Source organism: Homo sapiens, chromosome 10 (assembly GCF_000001405.40).
Source record: "Homo sapiens chromosome 10, GRCh38.p14 Primary Assembly".
NCBI classification, from domain to species: Eukaryota; Metazoa; Chordata; class Mammalia; order Primates; family Hominidae; genus Homo; species Homo sapiens.
The window spans coordinates 2948184-2972179 of record NC_000010.11 but is presented as its reverse complement, the minus strand read 5'-3'; the positions used below and the strand labels follow the sequence as shown (position 1 = coordinate 2972179).

Here is a 23996-nt window from a genome sequence, read left to right as displayed (position 1 = left end):
GGAATTAAAAGTTCTGATTTATTTCCAGGCCGTTATAAAAAGCTCCCTGAAAAGCAAATACTATTTGTAGTGGTGACAAGCAATTAGCAAAGCATTTAGATTTATTCTGAGGCACTCGTGAAAGTGGTGTTTTATTTTTCTTTTGCAGGAGTTTTAAAAATTCACTTGAAGGTAATGGACTGAGATTGCTTCTGTCCCAAGGACCAGCGGGATCCTGGCGAGGTGTGGGGTTCCAAGTTCCAGTTGCCACAGTATCAAAGTCTTAGCCATCTCCTCATTTCCAGATCTTTTTCTAATAAAAGCACTGTTTAAATGTCTCACTTTGACTTTATTTACTCCCTTAAATTCCTCCAATGTGTAAAATCGATCTCGAATAATAGCTAAAATGTTGAATCACAGCATGGTATTGGGCATCACGGTGACTTTGTATCTTATTGAATATGGCTTCTTATTGAATATAGCTTCTTACTGAATATGGCTTCGTGAGAGTACTTGGGGGAAGATATTATGACCTTCCTTTCAAGGGGAAGAAGGAGCAGTTCAGAATAAATGCAATGATAGCGGAAACTGTCAGGGGAGACTGGGATTCCAGGCCCAGTTTGTGCTGTGCAGGTGCCCAGGTCATTCCTGAGGGTGGCCTCATATCCCATTCCGAGATTGCTTGCTTTCTACTAATGAAATTAATTTCTTCTGATTCCCTTCCAAGTATTCTCCTCCCTCCTCATCTGTACTTTTCTTTAAAACATCACTTGGAATCTTTGATTCTCCGACCATTTAGGATTGAAATAATCTCTCTGTGAGATATTTCCTGCATTTGTTGTCCTGACATTGACTTCATATCAACTTACAATCAATATTAAAATAAAACCCACAATTACAATTTCCAAGTCATCATTTCTTGAGTTAAAAAAATAATCCTGGGCCGGGCATGGCAGCTCATGCCTGTAATCCCAGCACTTTGGGAGGAGGCTGAGGTGGGAAGATCACTTGAGCCGGGAAGATCACTTGAGCCCAGGGGTTTGAGATCAGCCTGGGCAATATAGGGAGAACTCATCTCTTAAAAAAAAAAATTAGCAGGGCATGGCGGTATATGCCTGTGGTCCCAGCTACTCGAGAGGCTGAGGTAGGAGGATCAATGAAGTTGAGGCTGCAGTAAGCTGTAATTGTGCCACCGCTCTCGAGTTTGGATGAGTGAGACTCCATCTCAAAAAAAATATTCCCATGCTCTTTCAAAACTAGTTTTCTTCTAAGGGATCTATTTTTATACACACACACACACACACACACAAGCACAATCTTCTATACATACACATATACCACACACACATATATACATATGCACATACATGCAAACACATGTATAGGTATATAAGGAAATAAACAGGTATAATCAAGCCTTTACCATGTGTCATTTTATTTCCTGTATAATACCATTAACAATTTGATATCATATGTTATCACTTTTTAATATTAAAAATATTGCTCATACCGATATGTAACATAGCATATTATTAATAGCTATATAATATTAATCATTAATTATTAATTTATGATTAATTAACAATTAATGATTAATAAATAATTATTATAACTATGTTAACAACCACCTTTAATAACTATATTCTTATAATAACTATATTATTAATAACAACCATATTATTAATAACTATATTATTAATAACAACCATATTATTAATAACTCTGTTGATGCAGGACATGGTGGTGTGGTCTATCTTGGAGTACACTATGAATAGCCACAGCAGCTGCAGCAGTAACTGACTAAGCACCTCTTCTGTGCCCAGCACTGCACAGAGCCATGGGGAGCATCATCTCAGCTTCATGGCAGCCCTGAACGACCGCAGGAGACTCTTTTACAGGTAAGGAGCAACCGCAGGACACATGGGGTGGTGGAGGGGCAACCCCGTGCCTGGTGCCTCCCACACCATCGGCCCCCTTGGGAGCCTTGTTCGCACTGCAGGGCAGCTTTGATCACCCCACACTCCACACGTTGTGATGTTTCTTGCTTTTCCCACAGAAGGCCTATTTCTTTTTGCAGATGCAAAGATAAGTGTCATAGGTGACTTACTAAAATCCCTGCAAATGTGCTATGGGAAAGTAATCAGATATTCCCAAATATTTAGTGAAGATTTAATTTCTGGTATCTGGCCCTGTTTTCCTCAAGAGCCACTGTAAATTATCATAAGTTCCAATATTTTGGCATCTAATCAACAACTTCTTAATTGCCTCTGATATGAAGAAATGGTATATACATTTTTAATCAATATGTGTTCTGATATTTCATTAATACAGCAAATGTGTAGAATTTGACCTAAGTATTTTCATGGAGGAGAAGATGAATTAGAAATGCAATCATTAAACCATGGCACCACTATAGATGGAAAGCACTGGAGATACTCATATATTTTTAAGATTCAAGAAAGATTTTTACAAAGAATCTTTAATGGCACTGGAGGATGTGTAGCATATAAAATTTAGTCAAAAGGAGATTATTAAATTTATAAGCAGCACAATCTCCAATCTGTTAGAATATGAATATATATATTTTTTATTTTAAAAAGTATAGGAAATACCAAAATGGTAATAGCGATTTACAGCTATTATCTCTGGGCCTGGAGATTTAGAATGATTATTATCTTCTGTTTTATACTTTTGTGCATTTTCAAAATTTTCTACAGTGAGCCTGTGTTTCATTTATAATTAAAGAAAGATGTGTCTAAACTAACAAAGATCACAAAGGTTATTAAGTGAAGTTTTTCCATGTGCATTTTATCAGTAGGAATGTTCTGGAAGGTACTGCGCCCTCAATTAAAGCCCTTTTTATGTCGCTATTTGTACTCATTGCCTCGCAAACCTTCTTTAAGGAAATCACACAGCATACCTGGCTCCAGCCTTATCAAAAATCTCTGCTCTCTTTTTCAATTCTGGTTTAAAACCATTGGGAAGAAAGACACTTGCAGGGAACTTTTTCTGGAGGTGTTTTTTTCACGTTCATTAATTTTCCACTTGCCTCAAATTTTCCTTTGACTTTAGGAAACTTGATTTTTATTGTCCTCTTAGGAGGCGTGAGGGCGTAGGGTTTGAATACCCTAGCATTTTCCCCTGTAGACTCTTATTTAAATTTAGATTATGACCACATGAAAAATTTGTTGGGAAAAGTAATCAGTAGGGCCATATGTTAGAGTTTCAAAAATCACCCTAATTTCCATTTAACTCACATCATAAAAATCACCCTCCCATTCAATCAGACTATTATAAGGTGTTTTAGATGAGTGATGAGCGGATGCCTGCCAAATGCAAGCTAATAAGAAGGCCTTGATCTTCCCAAGAGCTATTCATCTTTGTCTTTCACACATTTCACTCTCTCTGCTCTCTCTCTCTCTCTCTCTCTCATACTGCCCAAAGCAAACCATAAAAAAGAAAGCTCTTAAGAGTCCATAAAAGTGTGAGTAAGACTTTAAATTTTATTTTTATTTACTAGAAATTTATGGAACAGGAGCCGAGGCACCATCATGATTCATCACCCGCATCCCACTTCTGCATTCCATTTCTGCCCACGGCTCTGACACACACATGTTCCGTATGGACCGACTCTTACTCCAGAAAAACTAGAGCTCTGTGGGAGAACAGCGAGCTCTCGGCTGTGTCTGCAATGACCCCCAACCAGTGTGTGTTCTGATGGCTTTCATTTCTACTGCGTACTGCCATAATAGTTAACAATTCCTTATATGATTCACCCAGGTTGGTTAGAGGAAACCTTCGTTGCTGGTTAGATAACAATGAGATGCAATTCATTTAGCTTGCCCAATCATTCATGGATAATCTTAGCATTGCATGCCGGTTCGAATGACCTGTGTGTGGTGTTGCGGTACTTTTGAAGAGATAGCTCATTGCGTGACACTCATGTGTTTGGAAAAGCCATCAGTACTACCACGGATTTGTTTCAACAGCCACGTTACTTTCCATCTTGCTGTTTAGTTTAATGATGCTCACAACACTAAATCTGTTGGGGTGACCAACCTCCTCTCGTAGACATCTGATTTTTTTTTTTCAATTTTTATGCTGGATTCAGGGGGTAATCTGCAGGGTTGTTACATAGATATATTGCATGACACTTAGGTGTGAAGTACGAACGATCCCATCACACAGGTAGTGAGCATAGCAGCCAATTGGTAGTTTTTCAGCCCCTGCCACTCTCGTCCCTCTAGTAGTCCTCACGGTTCTTTGCTCCCCTCTTTGTGTCCGTATTTATCCAACGTTTAGCTCCTACTTGTAAGTGAAAATATGTGATATTTGGTATTCTGTTCCTACGTTAATTGGCTTAGCATGATGGTGTCAACAGAGCCCAGATGTTTGGCCATAGAAATGACATCTAGGAACCACTTAACTTGTGGAATTCGGCTTTCTGGAGAACACAGGGACACACACACACACACACACACACACACACACACACACGCTTTTTTCCCCACTAAGGAGTTTAGTTTTCATTTTTGAGGCAGAAGCTTTCTCTGTCACCCAGGCTTGAGTGCAGAGGTGCAATCATGGCTCACTGCAGCTCTGACCTCCCAGGCTCAAGCAATCCTCCCACCTCAGTCTCCCGAGCAGCTGGAACTACAGCTGTGTGTCTCCATGCCCGGCTAATTTTTGTATTTTTTTGTAGAGACAGGGTTTCACCATGTTGCCTAGGCTGGTCTCGAACTCCTGAGGTCAAGTGATCTGCCCTCCTTGGCCTCCCGAAGTACTGCGATTACAGGTGTGAGCCACCATGCCTGGCCTCCATTATGGAGTTTTTATTCCTTTAATTATTATTTACAGAAAACGTGGGCAATCCTCATTTCAATAAGGTAAAATAAACAACCTGTTTCAGCAGTTTCAATTATTTAAAAGGAGAAATCTTACTGAGTTCTCAAGTAAAAATTTATTACTGAAAAAAGACTCAATTTTAAATAAAGAAAATCCATTTCTAATTCTTTTAAAGCCATTAGAAAATATTTAAAACGTACATAAATAAATTAGGGATTTGTGGAAAATACATACACCCCTCATTTCAAATCTCATTTGCACATATGCTGTTTAGAAACATTAAAAAAAAGGACATGCATGTCCCTCCAGTAAACATTTGCTATGTTCAGAGCTCCCTGTGAAATCGTGGAAGTGTTGCTTTCCTTTTAAGATTGCCAAAATAATGGTGCATTCAGGGAAAGTATGAAGCTTTCTGGGATTTACATGCTATTGCCATCCTTCTGTGGGTTCTGAATAAAATATAAATTAAGATAAAAATAGCCCTGGAACATCTTTCAACCAAATTAGCCCGTTGTGCACAAGCCTACCATGAACACACTTTCAAAACCCTTGGCATGCAGTCCGCTGCCACCTAATGTTTTACTAATATTTAGAAATACTCTCACAGTGGGAGTTTGCAAATTTTCTCCCTAGAACTTGGGTAAACTGTATTAACAAAATTCCAAATCCTATTGCTTTGATGTGGTGAAGGATAGAAGGCAGCTTTGCTATTTGCAGTCATGAATTTGAGAAGAAATAAAGAACATTGGGAGGATCCATGAAGATATCTTAAGAATAATGATTGTTTTGCAAATATATTTATTCTCAGCATAGTATTTTATAGCCACAATATATGCACTGTCTGCACAATGCCCAAATGACACTGTTATGAATAATCTGAGGCAGAAAGAAGAGTATAACACATTCTCATATTCTCATCATCGAATTTCGGCAAATACCAAGATTTTGCTACGTTGCTCCTCTTTCTTTTCCTTTCCTTTCCTTCCCTTCCCTTTCTTTTCTTTTCTCTTCTCTTCTCTTTCCTTTCCTTTTCTTTTCTCTTTTCTCTTCTCTCCCCTCCTCTCCTCTCCTCTCCTCTTCTCTTTTCTTTTTTTTTTTCTCTCTCTCTCTTTCTTTGTCTGTCTTGTCTTGTCTTACTCTGTCACCCAGCCTGGAGTGCAGTGGCATGATCTCAGCTCACTGCAAGCTCGGCCACCCCAGTTCAAGTGATTCTCCTGCCTCAGCCTCCCGAGTAGCTGGGAATACATGCATGTGCCACCATACCCAGCTAACTTTTGTATTTTTAGTAGAGATGGGGTTTCACCATGTTGGCCAGTCTGGTCTTGAACTCTTGACCTCAAGTGATCTTCCTGCCTTGGCCTCCCAAAGTGCTAGGATTACAGGTGCAAGCTACTGTGCCCAGCCTCTTTTTTTCCTTTTCTTATGAGATTATTTTAATGCAATCCTCATTAAATTTCATTTCATCCCTGCACACTTCACCATGCATCTCTAAACAGTATGGATATTCTCTTACTATGGCATTACCAAATGTAACACAATTAAGGGTATGCTTTTTGGTATTATCTAATGTCCAATCTACAATAAAATTTCCCCAGTTGTCTCAGCAACATCTTTTTGCAGTTGATTTCTTTGAGTTAGGATCTAAATAAGGTCCATGCATAGGGAAGAGTTCTAGATGACCCTCAGTTTTCTGTATGTCCCCTCACTTCTGCCTTTTTATCCCTGCCATTGACTTGACGAATGTCTCCTGTGATGGTGAATTTTATGTGTCAATTTGGCTGGACCAGGGTGTTCAGATGTTTGATCAGGTACTGTTCTGGATGTTTCTATAAGGTGTTTTGGGATGAAGTTAACATTTAAATTGGTGAACTTCAAAGAATGTAGATTGTCCTCTCTAATGTGGGTGGGCTCATCCAATCAGCTGAAGGCCTGAATAGAGCAGAAGACTGGCCTCCCCTCAGAGAAGGAATCTGTCAGCAGGCAGCCCTCAGACGTCCTCTGCAGCCCCAGTTCTTCCCTGGGTCTCCAGCCTGCTGGCTGCCCTGCAGGTTTTGGATTTATCAGCCTCCATAACTGTGTGAGCAGAGACTGCTGAGTGTTCAAATAAGGCAAGCACCAACCTGTAACCAAAATTCAGCTGTTCTGTACCTCACTGCCGATTCCTGTACGTCACTTTACCTTTTTTGTCTACAAATTTGTTACGACCATGAGGCATCCCAGGAGTCTCTCTGAACCTGCTGTGATTCTGGGGGCTGCCCGATTCATGAATTGTTCATTGCTCAATTAAACTCCTTTAAATTTAATTTGGCTGAAGTTTTTCTTTTACCAGGATGGATCAAACCAAGTGCAGACTGCATTTGGACATCAAGATGGAATCACATCTCAGCCACTTCCCAGGCAATTTGTCCTTAAGAATTTGTGGAGTTGTTGAACCAGTTTAAATTCTACACTTGGTGGATTATCTTTAATTACACATGCATTGTGCTAAATTCCCAGATGGAAGCAATGCCACCTTTTAAGGTAGCATACTGATTTTGCCCAGAGTGAACATTTCTGTTTACTTCTATAAACCAAAAAGTATCTGAGACAGATCTCAATCAATTTAGAGATTTATTTTGGCAAGTTTCAGGACCATGGCCAGTTACACAGCCTCGGGAGGTCCTGAGAACATGTGTCCAAGGTGGTTGGGTTACAGATTATACATTTTTGGGAGAAGGAAGTTACAGGCAAAGGCATACATCAATACATAGAAGGTACACGTTGATTCGGCCCCTGAAAGGCAGGACGTCTTGAAGCAGGAGGGGGCTTCCTGGTCATAGGTGGATTCTGATTTCCTGATTGGCAGTTGGTTGAAAGTGTTAAGCTCTGCCTTAAGAGTTGAAGGCAGCTTGAGTTAAGGTAAGAAGAGAGGTGTGGGAGCCAAGGTTCTTGTCATGCAGATGAAGACTCCAGGTAGCAGGCTTCAGAGACAATAGATTTGAATATCTCTCATCAGAACTTAAAAGGCACCAGATTCTTGGTTAACCTCTTTTGGATCAGGAAAATACCTGGAAAGGGAAGGGGGTTCTCTGCAGGATGTAAATTTCCTCCACAAGAGATGACCTTGTAGGGTCATTTCAAAATATGTCAAATAACTATATTTTAGGATAAAATACTTTTATTTCTTCAGGGCTGGCTACCTGTCATGTTGGTATCTTATTGCTATAAAGAGTCTGTTCTGTCAGTCTTAGGATCTCTATGTTAATGTCAGTACTGTTCATTGTACCTGAACTCCAAAAGGAAGAGGTATAACAAGGCCTGTCCCACTGCCTCTTCCCATCAGGGCCTGAATGAGTTTTTCAGGTTTACTTTGGAGTCCCTGAGATGGGAGTTCATTCAGTCAGTTGGGAGGCTTAGAATTTTAATTTTGGTCTACACTTCCCACTTGGGCAGGAGGCTGTTCATGTTAACACTCTGTATTCAGGATTTTGTCTCTAACTGAAAACTGGTTCCAACACAGGTGTTCCCAACGCCTCCCATGCCTCACTTTCCTGCTCTGTGGCTTGCTGCTTAGCTATTCTCTCGTGCAAGGCCACCATCTCTCCTTTGCCTATGCTTATCACCCTATGCCAATGTCACCACGGGCATAACCACTGACTAAGTGGAATATGCCCTTCCGCAGTGGAGGCCTGAGATTTAGAACCAGGCCATTATTATCCAGAGAGAGAATTGGAGTTGACAAAGCTATGCTGCTGCAAAGGAACTGAGAGGGGTCACTCAGCCTCTGAGGTGGGGACATGGGAGGGCTGCATGCATCCAGGCCTTTGCTGGCTGCTGACGGAAGCCCTTAATCTCTCAGCGGTGGCCTCACTGCTGTCTAATTTTGGATGAGAAAGGCATAGTATCTTGTGACGTGTGTGAACATTTGACTTGCTGTAAGTCATGGTCAAGAATCAGAGCCTAGGAGGAAGAAGCCCCAAACCCACTAAGTGATGACAGCAGCTGTGGCTGCTGTCCTGTCCCCACCCCACCAGGTGTGTGGCCAGGTGTGCGGCCAGGTGTGTGGCCAGGTGTGTGGTGATGTGTGCTCTCAGCAGCAGGCCCAGGAGATGGAGGGTGGGCAGTTACCTTGCAAAAGTTTTGAGAGAACTACTACTCGTGCCTGTCTGTAAGCCATGGACACAAAGAGATAACTTTATGCCCTGAAAAGAACTGAATGCCTGCTCAGGTAATCACCTTACAAAATTTTCACATAGTGACCCTATAGTAATGCCTAAAAGTGGGCATTTGCTCACTTCATACACTACATTGTGTCTCAGGAGTGAGGAGCCTGCCCATCCAGAGGCCTGAGGACAACCGCCTTTCCCATGAGAAAGTGGACGGAGGGAACCGGGATGGTCCCTGGACTGTTGATTTGGAATCAGAGGGTCTTCCCCATGCTGGATTCTCATCCTAACCCCAGCCATCAGGGGAGCCCTGCCCACGGCTGAGGCCCTGCCTCCCTCTGGTGAGGGGTGGTGGACATGGAAGACTTCTTGGTTCACTGGTGGAGATGGAAGATCGAGGCTGCTTCCATTGGGTTCCATCAAGGATGGATGTGCATCACTCAGGCTGCCAGACATGTGGGAGGAACTCTGTCCCCAAAAGATATGTCTATCTGGAAACTCAGAAGGTGCCCTCATTTGGGAGAAGGGCCTGTGCAGATGCAACTAAGGCATAAGGATCTCAAGACGAGATCATCCTGGATTAGGGTGGGCCCTAAATCTAATGTTAGGCTTCCTTAAAAGAGACAGAAAAGGAGAAGACAGAGAGAAACAGAGGGGAGAAGGCCACATTGGGATAGAGACAGAGTTTGGGGTGATGGGTATGCAAGCCAAGGCCAGGATTCTCCCCAGAGCTTCCAGAAGGAACTGACCCTGAGGATGCCTTGACCTCAGACTCTGGCCTCTAGGACTGTGGAGTATAAATTGCTGTTATTTTAAGCCCCTCAGTTCATTACACCAGCCCTATGGAGATAAACACAGCAGCTTGAACTAATGCCCTTCCTAGCCCTTAGCTAACGTGTCCCAGATTAGTCAGCATCTTTTTCCTTCATTAATTTATAAAGCATTAGACTCAAGAAATATTCCAGAAAACACTCTCTTTTACTCATGGGTCATAGAGTGTAAAATTACACCATTAGAGATTCATTCCTTAGGTTTGAAAGCCTTTAATTCTGTCTGGGAGGGATAGCGCACCAAGTTTCCAACACTGTAGGGAGAATTAGGTTAAGCTTTAGTCACTGGTAAGAGGGTCTTGTGTTATGTGGGAACTTGTGGTGCACAGGGACATTAGAACCAGAGGGTAGGACATGGTAGGTAGTGACCCTTGCAGGAGGCCATCCTCTGCAGGCCTCCAGAACTCCCACATGTCTTGCTGTCTGTGCCAAGACACTGAGGCCCCAAGCTCTCTGCTATCCAGCCCATTTCTCAGCACCGTTTATGCAGCTTGTCATCTTGACGGGTGAGGTCATCACTCTTGCCTCCCCACGACGGCAGCAGGCTTGCTTACTGCTTGCTACAAAAACAGTGGGTTCCCACTTCTACACTGCTGGTGGGAATGTAAACTAGTACAACCACTATGGAAGACAGTGTGGAGATTCCTTAAAGAACTAAAAGCAGAATGACAATTTGATCCAGTAATCCCACTACTGGGTATCTACCCAGAGGAAAAGAAGTCATTATACAAAAAGTTTACCTGCACATGCGTGCTTTTAGCAGCACAATTCACAACTGCAAAAATGTCAAATCAACCCAAGTGCCCACCAATCAACCAGTGGATTAAGAAACTGGTATATTTACATGATGGAACACTATATAGCCATACAAATGAATGAATTAATGGCATTTGCAGCTACCTGGATGAGATTGAAGACTGTTTTAAGTGTGCATGCATCTGTGTTTACTAAACCTCTCTAGTGACCCTGGGAGGCAGGGATTGATGTGGGAACCCGGGAATACAGGCTAAGCCACTCACCAGGTCCACAGAGCAGGAAGTGGCTCATGAGACATGAGGTCGAGAGGCTGGCCCTCCAATCTCTGCTCTTCTAAGAGTCTAAGATGGAACTCAGAGGAAATGAGGTGGTTTCTGCCTCCACTTCCTCCTCACTTATTTCCTATTACTGCTTTGAGATTTGAAGGATGATGGGGTAAAAGAGAGGCTCAGAGAGAGAGGGAGAGAGGGAGAGAGAAGAGAGGCGTGAACAGCAGGAGCAGATCCTGACAGCTCAGCTCCTTGGTGGGGGCTTCAGAGAGAACAGGGGCATTGGTTTGTGCACTGAAAAGTCCAGTTGTCATCTGGGACTTGGACGTTCATGTCCCCGAGGACGGTGATGGTATTGTGCAGAGCTGTCCTGCACCTGAGGCAGCAGCAGGGAGAATGTGTGCCCCTGTGTGCCTCATCTCTCAGCTTTCTGTGGCTCATTCATCTCTCAGTTATCTGTGGCTCAAGCAGATAAACAAATGTTGAAAATTAAAAAGTAGGAGTACTAAAGCTCATAATCTTACTTTAAATGGAAATATTTTACCTATACTTAAATCAGAATTTATTATAATTTTACCTATTGGCTTTAAACAATGCAAAGCCATCAGTAATCTTTTTAAAAGTTCTTTCCATCTTTCCGTCATTTTCAACTGAGTGTTGTAAATGAAATCAAATAAGAGAAAGAGTATGTGAGATAGATTTAAAATGTTAGCAAAAGGTAGGAATATTCTTCCTGAATTTGAAAATGAATGAAAAGGAAAGGTAAAAAATTAGAAATGTATGAATCACCACACAAGAGTGTCAATTCTTCTGGAAAAAGGGAAATCAAATAGAAATTTAGATTATAGATGCCTTAATTTAACATTTGAGGTGGAGAAACGCAAAATTAAAAAACTGTCTTCAGATTTTGAATTTTTACTAAAGAAAGTTATTCTGCATGAATACATTTGATTTTCAAAAAGCAGCCACTGACTCAACCCTAAAACATTCTGATGATTTAAGTTCTGGACAGATTTCCTCTTAAATAGGTGATTTTGAGAAGCCTGTTATGTCAAGAGTTTGTAATATAAAATCAGCATCATGTTGATATCTTTTTAAAATTCTATTAGGTGTCGGGGTGGTGAGTATGTTTTTATTATTATTATTTATTTTTCTTTAAGTTCTGGGATACGTGTGCAGAACTTGCAGGTTTGTTACATAGGTATACATGTGGTATGGTGGTTTGCTGCACCTATAACCTGTCATCTAGGTTTTAAGCTCCGCATGCATTACGTATTTGTCCTAATGCTCTCCCTCCGTTTGCCCCCCATCCCCTGACAGGTCCCAGTGTGTGATGTTCCCCTCCCTGTGTCCATGTGTTCTCATTGTTCAATTCCCACTTATGAGTGAGAACATATGGCATTTGGTTTTCTGTTCCTGTGTTAGTTTGCTGAGAATGATGGCTTCTAGCCTCATCCATGTTTTTGCAAAGGACATTAATTCATTCTTTTTTATGGCTGCATAGTATTCCATGGTGTACTATAAAGACATATGCACATGTGTGTTTACTGCAGCACTATTTACTATAGCAAAGACTTGGAACAAACCCAAATGCCCATCAATGATAGACTGGATAAAGAAAATGTGGTACATATACACTATGGATATCTTCTAAAAGTCATTGTGAGTTTTGCTTAGTAAAATTTTATCTCAGTTTGGAAGAGGTCTTGGGAATTTTTAACAATATAAGTCACAGTAGTATCCTGTAAAAGGAGTTTTGGGGCTGGGAAACTAAAATTATAATACATTTTGTTCTTGGTATAAATACAATACTTAAAATAATGCTGTGAGTTTTAACACATCCACTTTTAAATTATTTTCCATATTTTTTTTTTTTGAGATGGAGTTTTGCTCTTGTTGCCCAGGCTGGAGTGTAATGGCGTGATCTCGGCTCACTGCAACCTCCGCCTCTCAGGTTCTAGCGATTCTCCTACCTCAGCCTCTCGAGTAGCTGGGGTTGCAGGCATGCGCCACCATGCCCAGCTAATTTTGTATTTTTAGTAGAGACAGGGTTTCTCCATGTTGGCCAGGCTGGTCTTGAACTCTAGACCTCAGGTGTTCCCCTCTCCTCGGCCTCCCAAAGTACTGGGATTACAGGCGTGAGCCACTGCTCCCGGCCCTGTTTTCCATATTTTCAACTAGTCCTGGATAAAAATCAACTATTAAAGAAATTCATAAAAACATGCATATGGGGCTGGGGGACACATCTCGCCTGCCTCAGGCTCTGAACTGACTGAGCACAACCCCGTCTGATCCAGTCTTTATGGCAAATTTTGATATTTTGTTTATTGTGGACTATTTTTTGCACTCATTTTGATTTTTAAAAAATATTGCATGAAACAGGATTCTTCTTGATGGCTGAGGCCCCAGAACAACTTTTTTCACCCTGAACTCGACCCCTGTAGGGGCCATTCTGCATGTCTGTCACCAGGCCGCCCCTGTGTGGGCACATTTTTTGGCCCAACTGTGTCCCCAGCTCCTCCTTCCCAGAAGCTGAGGCTTCTGAAATCGCAATGTGAGACGTCACAAAAGGTCTCTACCTAAACCCCTGATGGACACCGACCTCTGGGAAGAACAGTTTTGTCTTGACCAGTTAAGATATCCGTTTTGAAATGTTTCAAATATTGGGGAATGTTGAGTATTTGAGGAATTAGGAGATTATCCAGCTGGAATAAGGTTCACATGGGTTCTGGCCTTTTCTTCCCCGTTTTTATAGTTCCTTTTCTTTAGCATTCGTGATGTTAAAAAACAGGCCGAAAGCCCCACTGGTCACATTGCAGGGAGTCCACCTCTTTCTACAAACACTTCTCAGTCTCAACGTTTTCTAGAAGAGCAGATGAAGCTTGTGTGCTCAGAAATAAAGCATTAGAAGCAGCGTTCACAAGAGGCTGTCTCCTTAGGCAGTGGTGAGGGGGTGCAGGTCTCATCTCTTCTTCCAAGGATATGGAAACTTCCTGACGGGCAAATGCAAGAGATCAAGTCAGTGTCAGTAACCTGCCCTGGGCCTTTCTTGGTTTTATAAGGCTAACAGACTTATTATAAACTGTGTTGAACAAGGCAAGGTAGAAGTTTGCCTAGTGGCTGAAAGATAGAAATTGTTAAACCCAGTATAGAATGGAAGACATTTCACGATCCCTTGAATTTCTTCTTCACCCTTCACACCTGACATGAGGCATTCTAGCTTGTGGATTCACTAGGGAATAATTTGGCCTTTGCCCCGTGGAAGACGCACTTGCCTCTGGGGGGCTGCCTTTCCTATTTCTCTTTGTGAAGTTGTCCCTCATTTACCTTGAGCTGAGAGCCTTGTGTTCTTTAGCTTTCTGGTAGATAATGTTAAATATTAACAGGGTCTTGCTCTGTCACCCAGGTTGGAGTGCAGGGATGCAATCATGGCTCACTGCAGCCTTGACCTCTTGGGCTCAAGTGATCCTCCTATCTCAGCCTCCCAAATAGCTGGGACCACAGATATGTGCCACTACACCAAGCTAACCTTTTCATTTTTTGTAGAGATGAGGTCTCACTTTGTTGCCCAGACTGGTCTCAAACTGCTGAGCTCAAGTGATTCTTCTATCTTGGCCTCCCAAAGTGCTGAGATTACAGGCATGAGCCACCCTGCCCAGCCTGTGAATAGCGTAAAATTAGAAAAATATGAAGATGAGCAACAACCACAACTGTTTTCAGGATCTTAGTTCAGTAACATTCTCTTAAGAAAACCAATGTTCTGTTGCTAGTAAAAACAAATAACAACAAGAAAGATACAGCTTCTCTAAGTTTGTCTGGAAAGGCACAGATATTGCATAGGCAATTTACCCCAAATTAAGAAGACACACAGAACACACAGTATGAGATTTCGGCATAACTTTATGCCATTTTCTCTTCTTTATTGTGTTTATTGAAAGATGCTCTTATTCCAAGTTTCTGGAATCTAGTTTAGGATAATTATTTTCTTTCTCACCTATAATCTGCCAACCATTTTCTGTAGAGAAAAACCTGGACTCCCATGTGTAAGAAGACAGGCCAGATAGATTTTATTTTATTTTAAAAAATATTTATTTATTTAGAGTCAGGGTCTCACTCACTCACCTAGGCTGGAGTGCAGTGGCGCCATCATGGCTTACCGCAGCATCAACCTCCTGGACTCAAGGGGTCTTCCCACCTCATTCTCCTGAGTAGCTGAGACTGCAGGTGCGTGCCACCATGCCCAACTAATTTTTGTATTTTTTGTAAAAATGGGTGTATAAATCTGTTCTCACACTGCTATGAAGAAAATACCTGACACTGGGTAATTTTTAAAGAAAAGATTTAATTGACTCAAAGTTCTGTATGGCTGGGCAGGCCTCAGGGAACTTACAATCATGGTGGAAGGCAACTCTTCACAAGGCAGCAGGAGAGAGAATGAGTGCAAGCAGGGGAAATGCCAGATGCTTATAGAACCATCAGATCTCATGAGACTCACTCATTATGAGAACAGCATAGGGGAAATTACCCTTATGATTAAATTACCTCCACCTAGACTGACCTTGACATGTAGGGATTATTACAATTCAAGGTGAGATTTGGGTGGAGACACAGAGCCAAACTATATCAATGTGCCATGTTGCCCAGGCTGGTCTTCAACTCCTGAGCTCAAGAAATCCGCCCCGCCTTGGTCTCTCAAAGTGCTGGGATTACAAGGTGTGAGCCACCATGCCCAACTGCCTGATAGATTTTAAATGCACAAATAAAGGTGATGATGGAAAGAATCTTTAGAGGAATAGGGAAAAGTCTGCAAAACAGTCACTGTCAAAAAATGAGAGGCCTTGTTTATTCACATAGACTGTGATATGGTTTTGTTGTGTCCCCACGCAAATCTCATCTTGAATTATAGTTCTCATAATCCCTATGTGTCGTGGGAGGGACCAGGTGGAGATAATTGAATCATGAGGGTGGTTTCCCCCATCCTGTTCTCATGATGTGAATTAGTTCTCATGAGATCTGATGGTTTTATAAGGGGCTTCCCCCTTTGCTGGGCACTCATTCTTTTCTTTCCTGATGCCATGTGAAGAAGGAAGTGCTTGCTTCTCCTTCTGCCATGATTGTAAGTTTCCTGAGGTCTCTCCAGCCTTGCAGAATTGTGAGTCAATCAAACCTCTTTTTAAAATAAATTACCCAGTCTTGGGTATGTCTTTATTAGTAGCATGAGAACACATGAATACAGACTGTCTTAAATAGTGCTTTCTGGTGATTGTTTTCCTTTAGCAGCAAATCTGCCTAACACAGCAGCACAAATATGCTAGTTATAACCACATCTCATTAACGTTTAAGGCATGAGGTTTAGGGATAAGCTGTATTTCCTCATTAGACAGAAGCTCCTTTTTATTTCTACTTAAGTTGTGAAAGTTTCTAAAAATGATTCAGTTCACTGTGAACCTGCTGAACTTTGTTGTTATTGTTATAATTTTAATGAAAGTCTGACCTCATTTCTCATTGTCTGGTAGAAATGTAGGAGATTGACCAAGAAGGATTCATGCTGTTAGTCTAGATGTTTAAAAATATGATTCCTTTTTTATAGCCATTTGCTTTTTTCTCCTAAAGGAGAAGTGCAGAAAAATCACAACTAATAAATGATTCTGGTCCAGAGTGTTTTTTACACTGTAGAGCTATGTGACTTTTTTCTTCTTTTCTCATTTAGCTGATGTTGGTATGGTGTCTAATAGTTTGCAAAGCATCTTCATATATATTCCATTTGATTGATCCTCACAGGAAGCCTATGGGGCAGACAAAGGATGTAGTGGCACTTTTGACCAATCCTCAGAGGTATTAAATAATGTGCCTGAGATCACACAGCTAATATGTGGTTATGACTGAATGTATATATCACCCCCAAGTCATACATTGAAACCCTCCCCTCCCCTCACCATGTGGCTGTATTTGGAGTAGAAGGGTAATTAAGGTTAATAAGGTCATAGATTGGGATCCTAATCTAATGGCATTCATGCCCTTATAAGAACACATCAAAGAGAGTTCTCTGGCTCTCTCTGCCCCATGTAAGGATACAGTGAGAAGACAGCCACCTGCAAACCAAGAAGAGAGTCCTCACCGAACACTGACTGTGCCACCACCTGACCTTGAAATTCCAGCCCCCAGGACTGAAAAATCAATGTTTGTTTTATTAATAAAACACCTTCTTTGTGGTATTTCCTATGGAAGCTTGAGCAGGCTAAGAGATTTTGGTGCTGAGGGGCAGGGGTGCTGCTGTAACAAATACCTAAAAATGTGGAAGTGGCCTTGAACCTGGGTAATAGGTAAAAAGGCTAGATGGCTGTGAAGTGCTTGTTGGTAGAAATATGGTTGTTCAAGGTGACTCTGGGGAAGGCTCAGAGAGGAAAGGGGAGAGCTGGAGAGAAAGCTTCTAGTATCTTAGAGCATGCAGGTATCATAGAATGTTATGGAGAAGCTGGTTTTGAAAAGAACACACAGGGTTTGCCTGAATATCCACTTGATAAGGAGATGAGTGTGGGTGGGAACCATGGCTGTAATCACCCACCTCAGAAGGATCCAGGAATAGAGACTGGATTACTTCCAGAGACCCTGTCAGCTTGAACCAGAGGGGACACAGTGGGGACAAAATAAAGGAAGGAATCAGACTGCTGAGATTCCACAGGATGTGACCACAGAGCTATTCTGCTGCATGTGTGTTTTATCTTTCAGAAAAATGGAAGCATCACCCTGATGGTGATTCAGAGATAATCAGGTCTGCCTCCTTGGTTTCTGTTTTAATGGGCCAGAACTCCACGGGTCAGAAAGTGGGGAGTGGGGCCACCCAGTAGAGCCCTGGGGTGAAGCTGCCACCCCCTTGGGCTGGAAGGAGGAACATTAGCCAAACAAAGTGTTTCTCAAGCCTTAAGCTTGAATAAAATTTGCCTTACTAGATTTTGGGCTTGCCTGGAACCAGCTGCCCCTTTCTTCTTTCCTGTTTCTCTCTTTCAGAATGAGAATGTGTATCCCTACTATTGTTTTGGAATGAGAATGTGTATCCCTACTATTGTACTTTGGAAGGGCATATTTGTCCAGTTTTAATGGTTCACAGCTGTAGAAGAAGTGTAGCTCAGGATGAATTGTGACTTGAACCTCACCTGTGTCAGATTCAGATGACATTGAGATGAGACTCTAGACTTTAAGCTTCAGCACTGATGCTGGAATGAGTGAAGATGTTTGGGGATGTTGGGCTGGAATGAACGTAGTTTGCATGCTAGGGGGTCAAGAGTTTTTGGAGGTCGTAAATTTTTAGGTGGAATTTTATCAACTGAATGTTTGTGTCACCCCAACATTTACATGTCAAGGTCTTAACATCCAATATGGCTGTATTTGGAGATGGGGTCTTTTTAGAAGTAATTTAGGTTATATGTGGTCATGAGGATGGGACCCTAATCAGATAGAGCTGGTGTCCTTATTGCAAGAGACATGGGAGGCCTAAGCTCTAGCTCCTTTCTCTCTGCCATGTGAGGACACAGGGAGAAGGGGTTGTTTGCAAGTCAGGACAACTGCTGGCACCTTGATCTTGAACTTCTAGTATCTGGAATGATGACAAATAAATGTCTGCTGTTGAAACTACCCAGTTCATGGTATTTTGTCATAGCAGCCTGAGCTGACTCATACACATGGTAATGTAGTTGATATGTGGCCTCCTAATAGGATACAGATTCCAGTACACAAGTCCACTTTTAGTGTGTTTCTATGAAAATATAAACAGATGATGTATTCTTGATCTCAAGATCTATAAACCTCTACCAGATTCACTCCGAGAGAGTTAAGTAGATATTTATACCAGGACCTAGCATCGACATCAGTGATCCTAAGAGGAGCTGAGGCATCACTACTGAGTCTTGACTCAAGCCAGGCTTGAGTTTGAGTGATGATTTTACTACTTGCTAGAGGCATGGCCTTGGTGAAGCTGCTTACCTTCTTCACACCTCACCTATTCCATTGCTAATCAAAATAACAGATAAGGCAGAAGGACACTGAGTATTTACAGCTTGCATGGGGACAGCTGCATGGTGAGCACATAGAAAACATTAGTTACTGGGAGGAATTCCATCACAACTATGAATTGCCACCAACAACACCGCAGCGTACCTGCCATAGTTGGCCATGGCAATGACAGAAAAGGGAAATGTGAAGTGGCTTGAATACATCTTTGGCTGTGAGTTATTAATTTGTATCTGGTTTTGTTCTGCTTGTAGAGAAAGACTGGGGAGAGCATGGAAATTAAGCACAGCAGCCTGTGACCAGGCGAAGAGGCGGGGATGGGTGCTGATGAGGACTGAGGGCCATCACCTGGCTTTCCCTGCTGGGATGTGTCAAAGACCCCCTCTTCTTGTGGGGATGCCTCAAGGACCCCCTCTCCCTGCCGGGGTGCATTGAAGACCCCCTCTCCCTTCCGGGATGCGTCGAGTACCCCCTCTCCCTGCCAGGATGAATCGAAAACCCCCTCTTCCTGCTGGGATGCGTCAAGGAGCCCCTCTCCCTATGGGGATGTGTCAAGGACCCCCTTCCCTGTGGGATGCATCGAGGACCCCCCCTCCCTGTGGGGATGTGTTGAGGACCCCCTCTCTCTGCCAGGATGCCTTGAAGACTGGCTCAGGCTGCTGTATCCTCCCACCTTTCTCTTACTTTCTGTGCAAAATACAACGCTCATGAGAACCTGAAAGGGGAAACAGCAAAATCCAAAAATCTTCTTTCTGGGACAGGATGAAGATAGCTCTTTTCACTGAGGATTTTAGATTTTAAAAAATCTCTCTGCATGCTGGCCGACTTAAAAATGTAAATCTTCTACTGACTCCATTCTCTAGTATTAAGGAATTAAACCCAACAGAGTTCTCAAATGCTTCTTAGCTAGAGATAAGAAAGAGAAAGAACTTGGCTAGTTTCATTTAGGTGAGAGTAAGTCATCATATTTCAGCTCTGTTTCCCTAATAATTAAGCCTAAAGACATAGCTAGACTAAATTGCTATTTATTTATTTCTTTATTTTTATTATACTTTTGTGGCGATTCCTCAAGGATCTAGAACTAGAAATACCATTTGATCCAGCCATCCCATTACTGGGTATATACCCAAAGGATTATAAATCATGCTGCTATAAAGAGACATGCACACATATGTTTATAGCTAGAGTAAATTTTTAAAAGAATCTTTTTCAAAGTACTTACAATGTATGGAAAAATGCATGTCTCAGTAAAGATAAATATATCAATGTTGTAAATATTACTAATAAAAAATTCTAACAGCAAGGCATCCTTGCTGTTTAAATCAGGGTTAGGGTTAGGGTTAAATATCGGTTCCAAGTTACCCCAGTGTGGGCAGGAGCAGGGGAAGCTGTCCACACGTGTGGTGTCCCCTTCTGAAGCTCTTGGCGAGCCCAGTGTGGGTTTCCAGTGAGGGTTCACACCTGCGCACACGCGTGACCTGCAGATGAGACCGACTCCTTTACTAGAAAATTTCAGGTATTATGTTCACATCTTGTTTTCTTTTTAAGCTTGGATTATTAGACTCTGTCTATATCCATGATCAGAGGATGGTTCTAAATGCTTCCTCCAAACCCAGCAGTGGCTCAGTCATAATGAAAGCTTCTGTATTTTCCAGCCTCTGCTGCTCTTTCTGACAGACCGCAGACCTTGAGTCGTGTCAAGTATAATATCAGCTGTCAGGATAGTGGCACATTTTCTCTATTAGAGGCAAACTTAGAGTCACATTTTCATCAGCCTGCTTTTGGCTCGTGATTATTAGGCAGACAGTCTAATTGATCTACGTCCCCAGCAGCCTTCTATGTGGAAGGAGTCAGAACTGCAAAGTCACATTGGTGACTGGCTGTCGCAGGTGGGGTTCTTCTGAAGCAGATGCTGAGTTTGGGACCAACACCCATGGGAGGCCGGTGGGAAGAGGAGGGCAGAGAGGAAGGGTGACGAGGCCTCACCAAGGCTTAGCTCATCCCTGGGGAGGCTTGGGGGATGCTGTGCGCCAGAGCTTCCTCCGTGTGACTGGGATGTTCATAACCTTGTGTGGGCTCCCCAGACACCCCCATCCTGTGGGAGCTCATCGCTGGAGGCTCCCGCCAACCTCACTCTGCAGCTGGGCACAGTCCTTTCTGAAGGGCGCATGGGAGGCACATCTCCACGTCAATCACACGGGCAAACATGGCGCCCCTGTCCAGCCAGACAGTGGTTCCCATCACTCACGACAGAGCCTGCCTGAAGAGCAGGACACCAACTGAACCACTGTGGGGACTGCTAACCTTCCTCCTAGCCCAGGACTCAGCCTCCGGCCAGACAGCCCAGGCGATAAGAGGGACAGGCAGGTAATCAGCTGAATCGATTCTCCTCTCAGGATGCCTGCTGTCCTTTTAGGGGTCTCCTGAAGGTAATGAGGGAGCTGGAGAAATGCTACAGTCCCAGAGCTGCTGCTGCTGCCATGGACCCACGTCAGGGTGAGGTTCTGTGGCTCACAACCCTGTCCTGCCTCAGATCAGAGCCCAGAGGCACCACGTCCCCTGCCCCTGGCATGGCTGACCTTGGTGGAGGTGAAAATGCTGAAGTGATGAGTAAATCATACAGGAAGCCGGGGAGGAGGAGGGCCAAGCATATGGGGGTTCCATCAATGGAAAGGTGAAATGAGGAGCCACTTGGTCTTCCTGCTGGCGTATTTGTGTCTAATTTTTAGAGAAAAAGGATCATATGTTTGCTGAGCATCTCCACTTGTGTTTCTTTCTCGACACCTTACACAGTCTCATTGGATCTTGACAAAAAGTGAAATGAGGGAATCTGCTCAGGTCTGCAAGGACAGGAAGTGACAGGGCCGTGGCTTGAACCCTCGCTCTGCCGAGTGCTGGTCGCTGGGTCTTCTCCTGACACTGCATCCTGTAGCAGGTGGGAGTGCCTGGAAAGGCTCCAGGTGCACGGATGGATGAGGTGGCTTCCGGGTGGCTTTGCCCCCGTCTGGGCATCCACACGTGCCGAGCCACCGGGGCTTTCTCCTCCTTTGTCTACGTGGCCACTTTGATCGCACGTGGGGCAATTTTCTTTTACTCTCATGATGAACAAAAGCTTGTTTATGTGTCATTTTCTTCTCACTCTTTTGCTTCTCGAGCGACTCGGGGAGCTTTGAGCGTGCTGACGGCAGTAGGTGCAATCAGAGTCACAATTAGACAGTGATTCACATTATGTAAAAGATTCATCACGCCAGTGGATGCAAAATGACTCACCGGCTGCCTGGCAGTGATTGCTGCACATGTCAGCCTCACTGGCTGGGCTGCAGTCACGGTCAGGCAATGCCCTTCCAGGGCGTCGTTATGGGCAATCTCACAAGGTGTGTGTGAGCGCACGCGTGTGTTGTGATGGAATTCCAATTCCTCCGTGTCCTGGTATCAGTGGGAAATTGCCCGTCTGCCTCCTTCCTTGATTTGATTTGAGAGTCCCAGCCCATTTTAACCCATGCCTATGGGATACATCTGGATGCGCACCTGGCCGTAACAGTCAACTCATTCCCAGACGGGCTGCCAGCTCGGACCTGCTTTTGCCTCTGTCCTCCCTACCCCATTAGACAGGACCGCCTGGCATCGCTCCCCGTGGGGCCGAGTCCCAGGTTGATGAGCTGTGCCTGCCTCAGAGGAGAAAGTTCTGGCCCTGGTGCTGCACAAATAGCTTTATAACTTGCTATTAAAAATATACAGGACAAACAATCATTTATAGATTCCAGCAGGAGAGCGACATTCTCATTGCAGAGATTGAGCATGTGCAACTGCGTTTGCTATAAACTCAGCAGCTGTGCTTCAGGACTTTTGAGAGTTTTCTTTCTTTGTTTCCCTCCCTCTCTCCCTCCCTCCCTCCTTCCTCCTTGCTTTCTTGCTTCTTCCTTCCTTCCTTTCTTTCTTTTCTTTCTCTTTCCTTTTCTTTCTTCCTTTCTTTCCTTTCTTTCTTTCTTTCCTTCCTTCCTTCCTTCCTTCCTTCCTTCCTTCCTTCCTTCCTTCCTTTCTTTCTTTAATTTCTTTCTTTCTTTCTTTTTCTTTCTTCCTTTCTTTCCTTTCCTTCCTTCCTTCCTTCCTTCCTTCCTTTCTTTCTTTCTTTCTTTTCTTTCTTTCTTTCTTTCTTTCTTCTCTTTCTTTCTTTCTTTCTTTCTTTCTTTCTTTCTTTCTTTCTTTCTTTCTTGCTTTCTTTCTTTCCTTCTTTCTTTTTTTTTTTCAATACAGCCCCAAATTCTTAATTTTAGAGACTGGAGTTCTATTCTTGTTACTTCAGAGAAAGCAGCAAACTCAGTTGCTTACTAGCATGAAAAAGGAATTTATTTTCATCAGAGAAAAGCTCTCTGCCTACTGGCTAGACAAGTTAGGAATCCTAGGCGAGGCCGTGTTGAGTTTCACAGCTTGAAAGGAGAATTAAAGGTGGAAAATCCACCTTCAAAGAATCCAATATGGGTGAATATTAGAGGTTTTTAGTAAAATTTGCTTTGGAATTGTATAATTTGGAAAGAAAATACAAATAATGTTGTGAATTTTTACTTTATTGAACTTTGGCATTGGTAGCCCTTCAAAGGCTTCAAAATGGATATTAGCAAAAGCAAACAGTTCATGAAGTTCATGAGTAACCAAATCATCAGATCATGGAAGCAATTGTGGGTGGAAACAGAAAGCCCCTGTCCTGTATGTGTTTCAGTTTGACTCAGTGAGCTATACTGTATTTCATGAAAATAGACCTGAGTTCTAGAACTAAATGAAAACTCAAATATATACATAGTTTTTCTCTATTTTTTTCACCAAGATTTCAATTTTAAAATGCCACCACATTTTTATATGTCTGGTTGGGAAAGATGACTTTTCTCAAAGTTCTGTGTTTTTAAATAAGATGCTGAGGCTTGGGTCCCAAAGGTTCAAGATAATTCTATAGGCAGCAGCTGTGGGCTCATTTTGAAAAGACAAAATGTAGCTTTACTTTCTGTCAGTGAGGTTTTCGGTCCCAAGTGCTGAGTTAACACAAATGAACAATTTAGCTTTCTTCTAGAATATGAATCTTACTAATTGTGGGTATGAAAATGAAGTCTGAGCTCTGAACCATTCAGTGAAGGAAGGAGGAGGCAGACATTTTCAGCAATTGAGACAGAAGC

At 42.7% G+C, this 23996-nt stretch overlaps 2 annotated features.

The window, feature by feature from the left end:
- Positions 7329 to 7875: an enhancer, noted in NCBI's record as "OCT4-NANOG-H3K4me1 hESC enhancer chr10:3006497-3007043 (GRCh37/hg19 assembly coordinates)". NCBI's record gives its function as "activates a minimal SCP1, AML or CMV promoter by ChIP-STARR-seq in naive and primed H9 embryonic stem cells {active_cell/tissue: H9 hESC(naive and primed)}" and the evidence as "EXISTENCE:reporter gene assay evidence [ECO:0000049][PMID:30033119]".
- Positions 7876 to 8422: an enhancer, noted in NCBI's record as "OCT4-NANOG-H3K27ac-H3K4me1 hESC enhancer chr10:3005950-3006496 (GRCh37/hg19 assembly coordinates)". NCBI's record gives its function as "activates a minimal SCP1, AML or CMV promoter by ChIP-STARR-seq in naive and primed H9 embryonic stem cells {active_cell/tissue: H9 hESC(naive and primed)}" and the evidence as "EXISTENCE:reporter gene assay evidence [ECO:0000049][PMID:30033119]".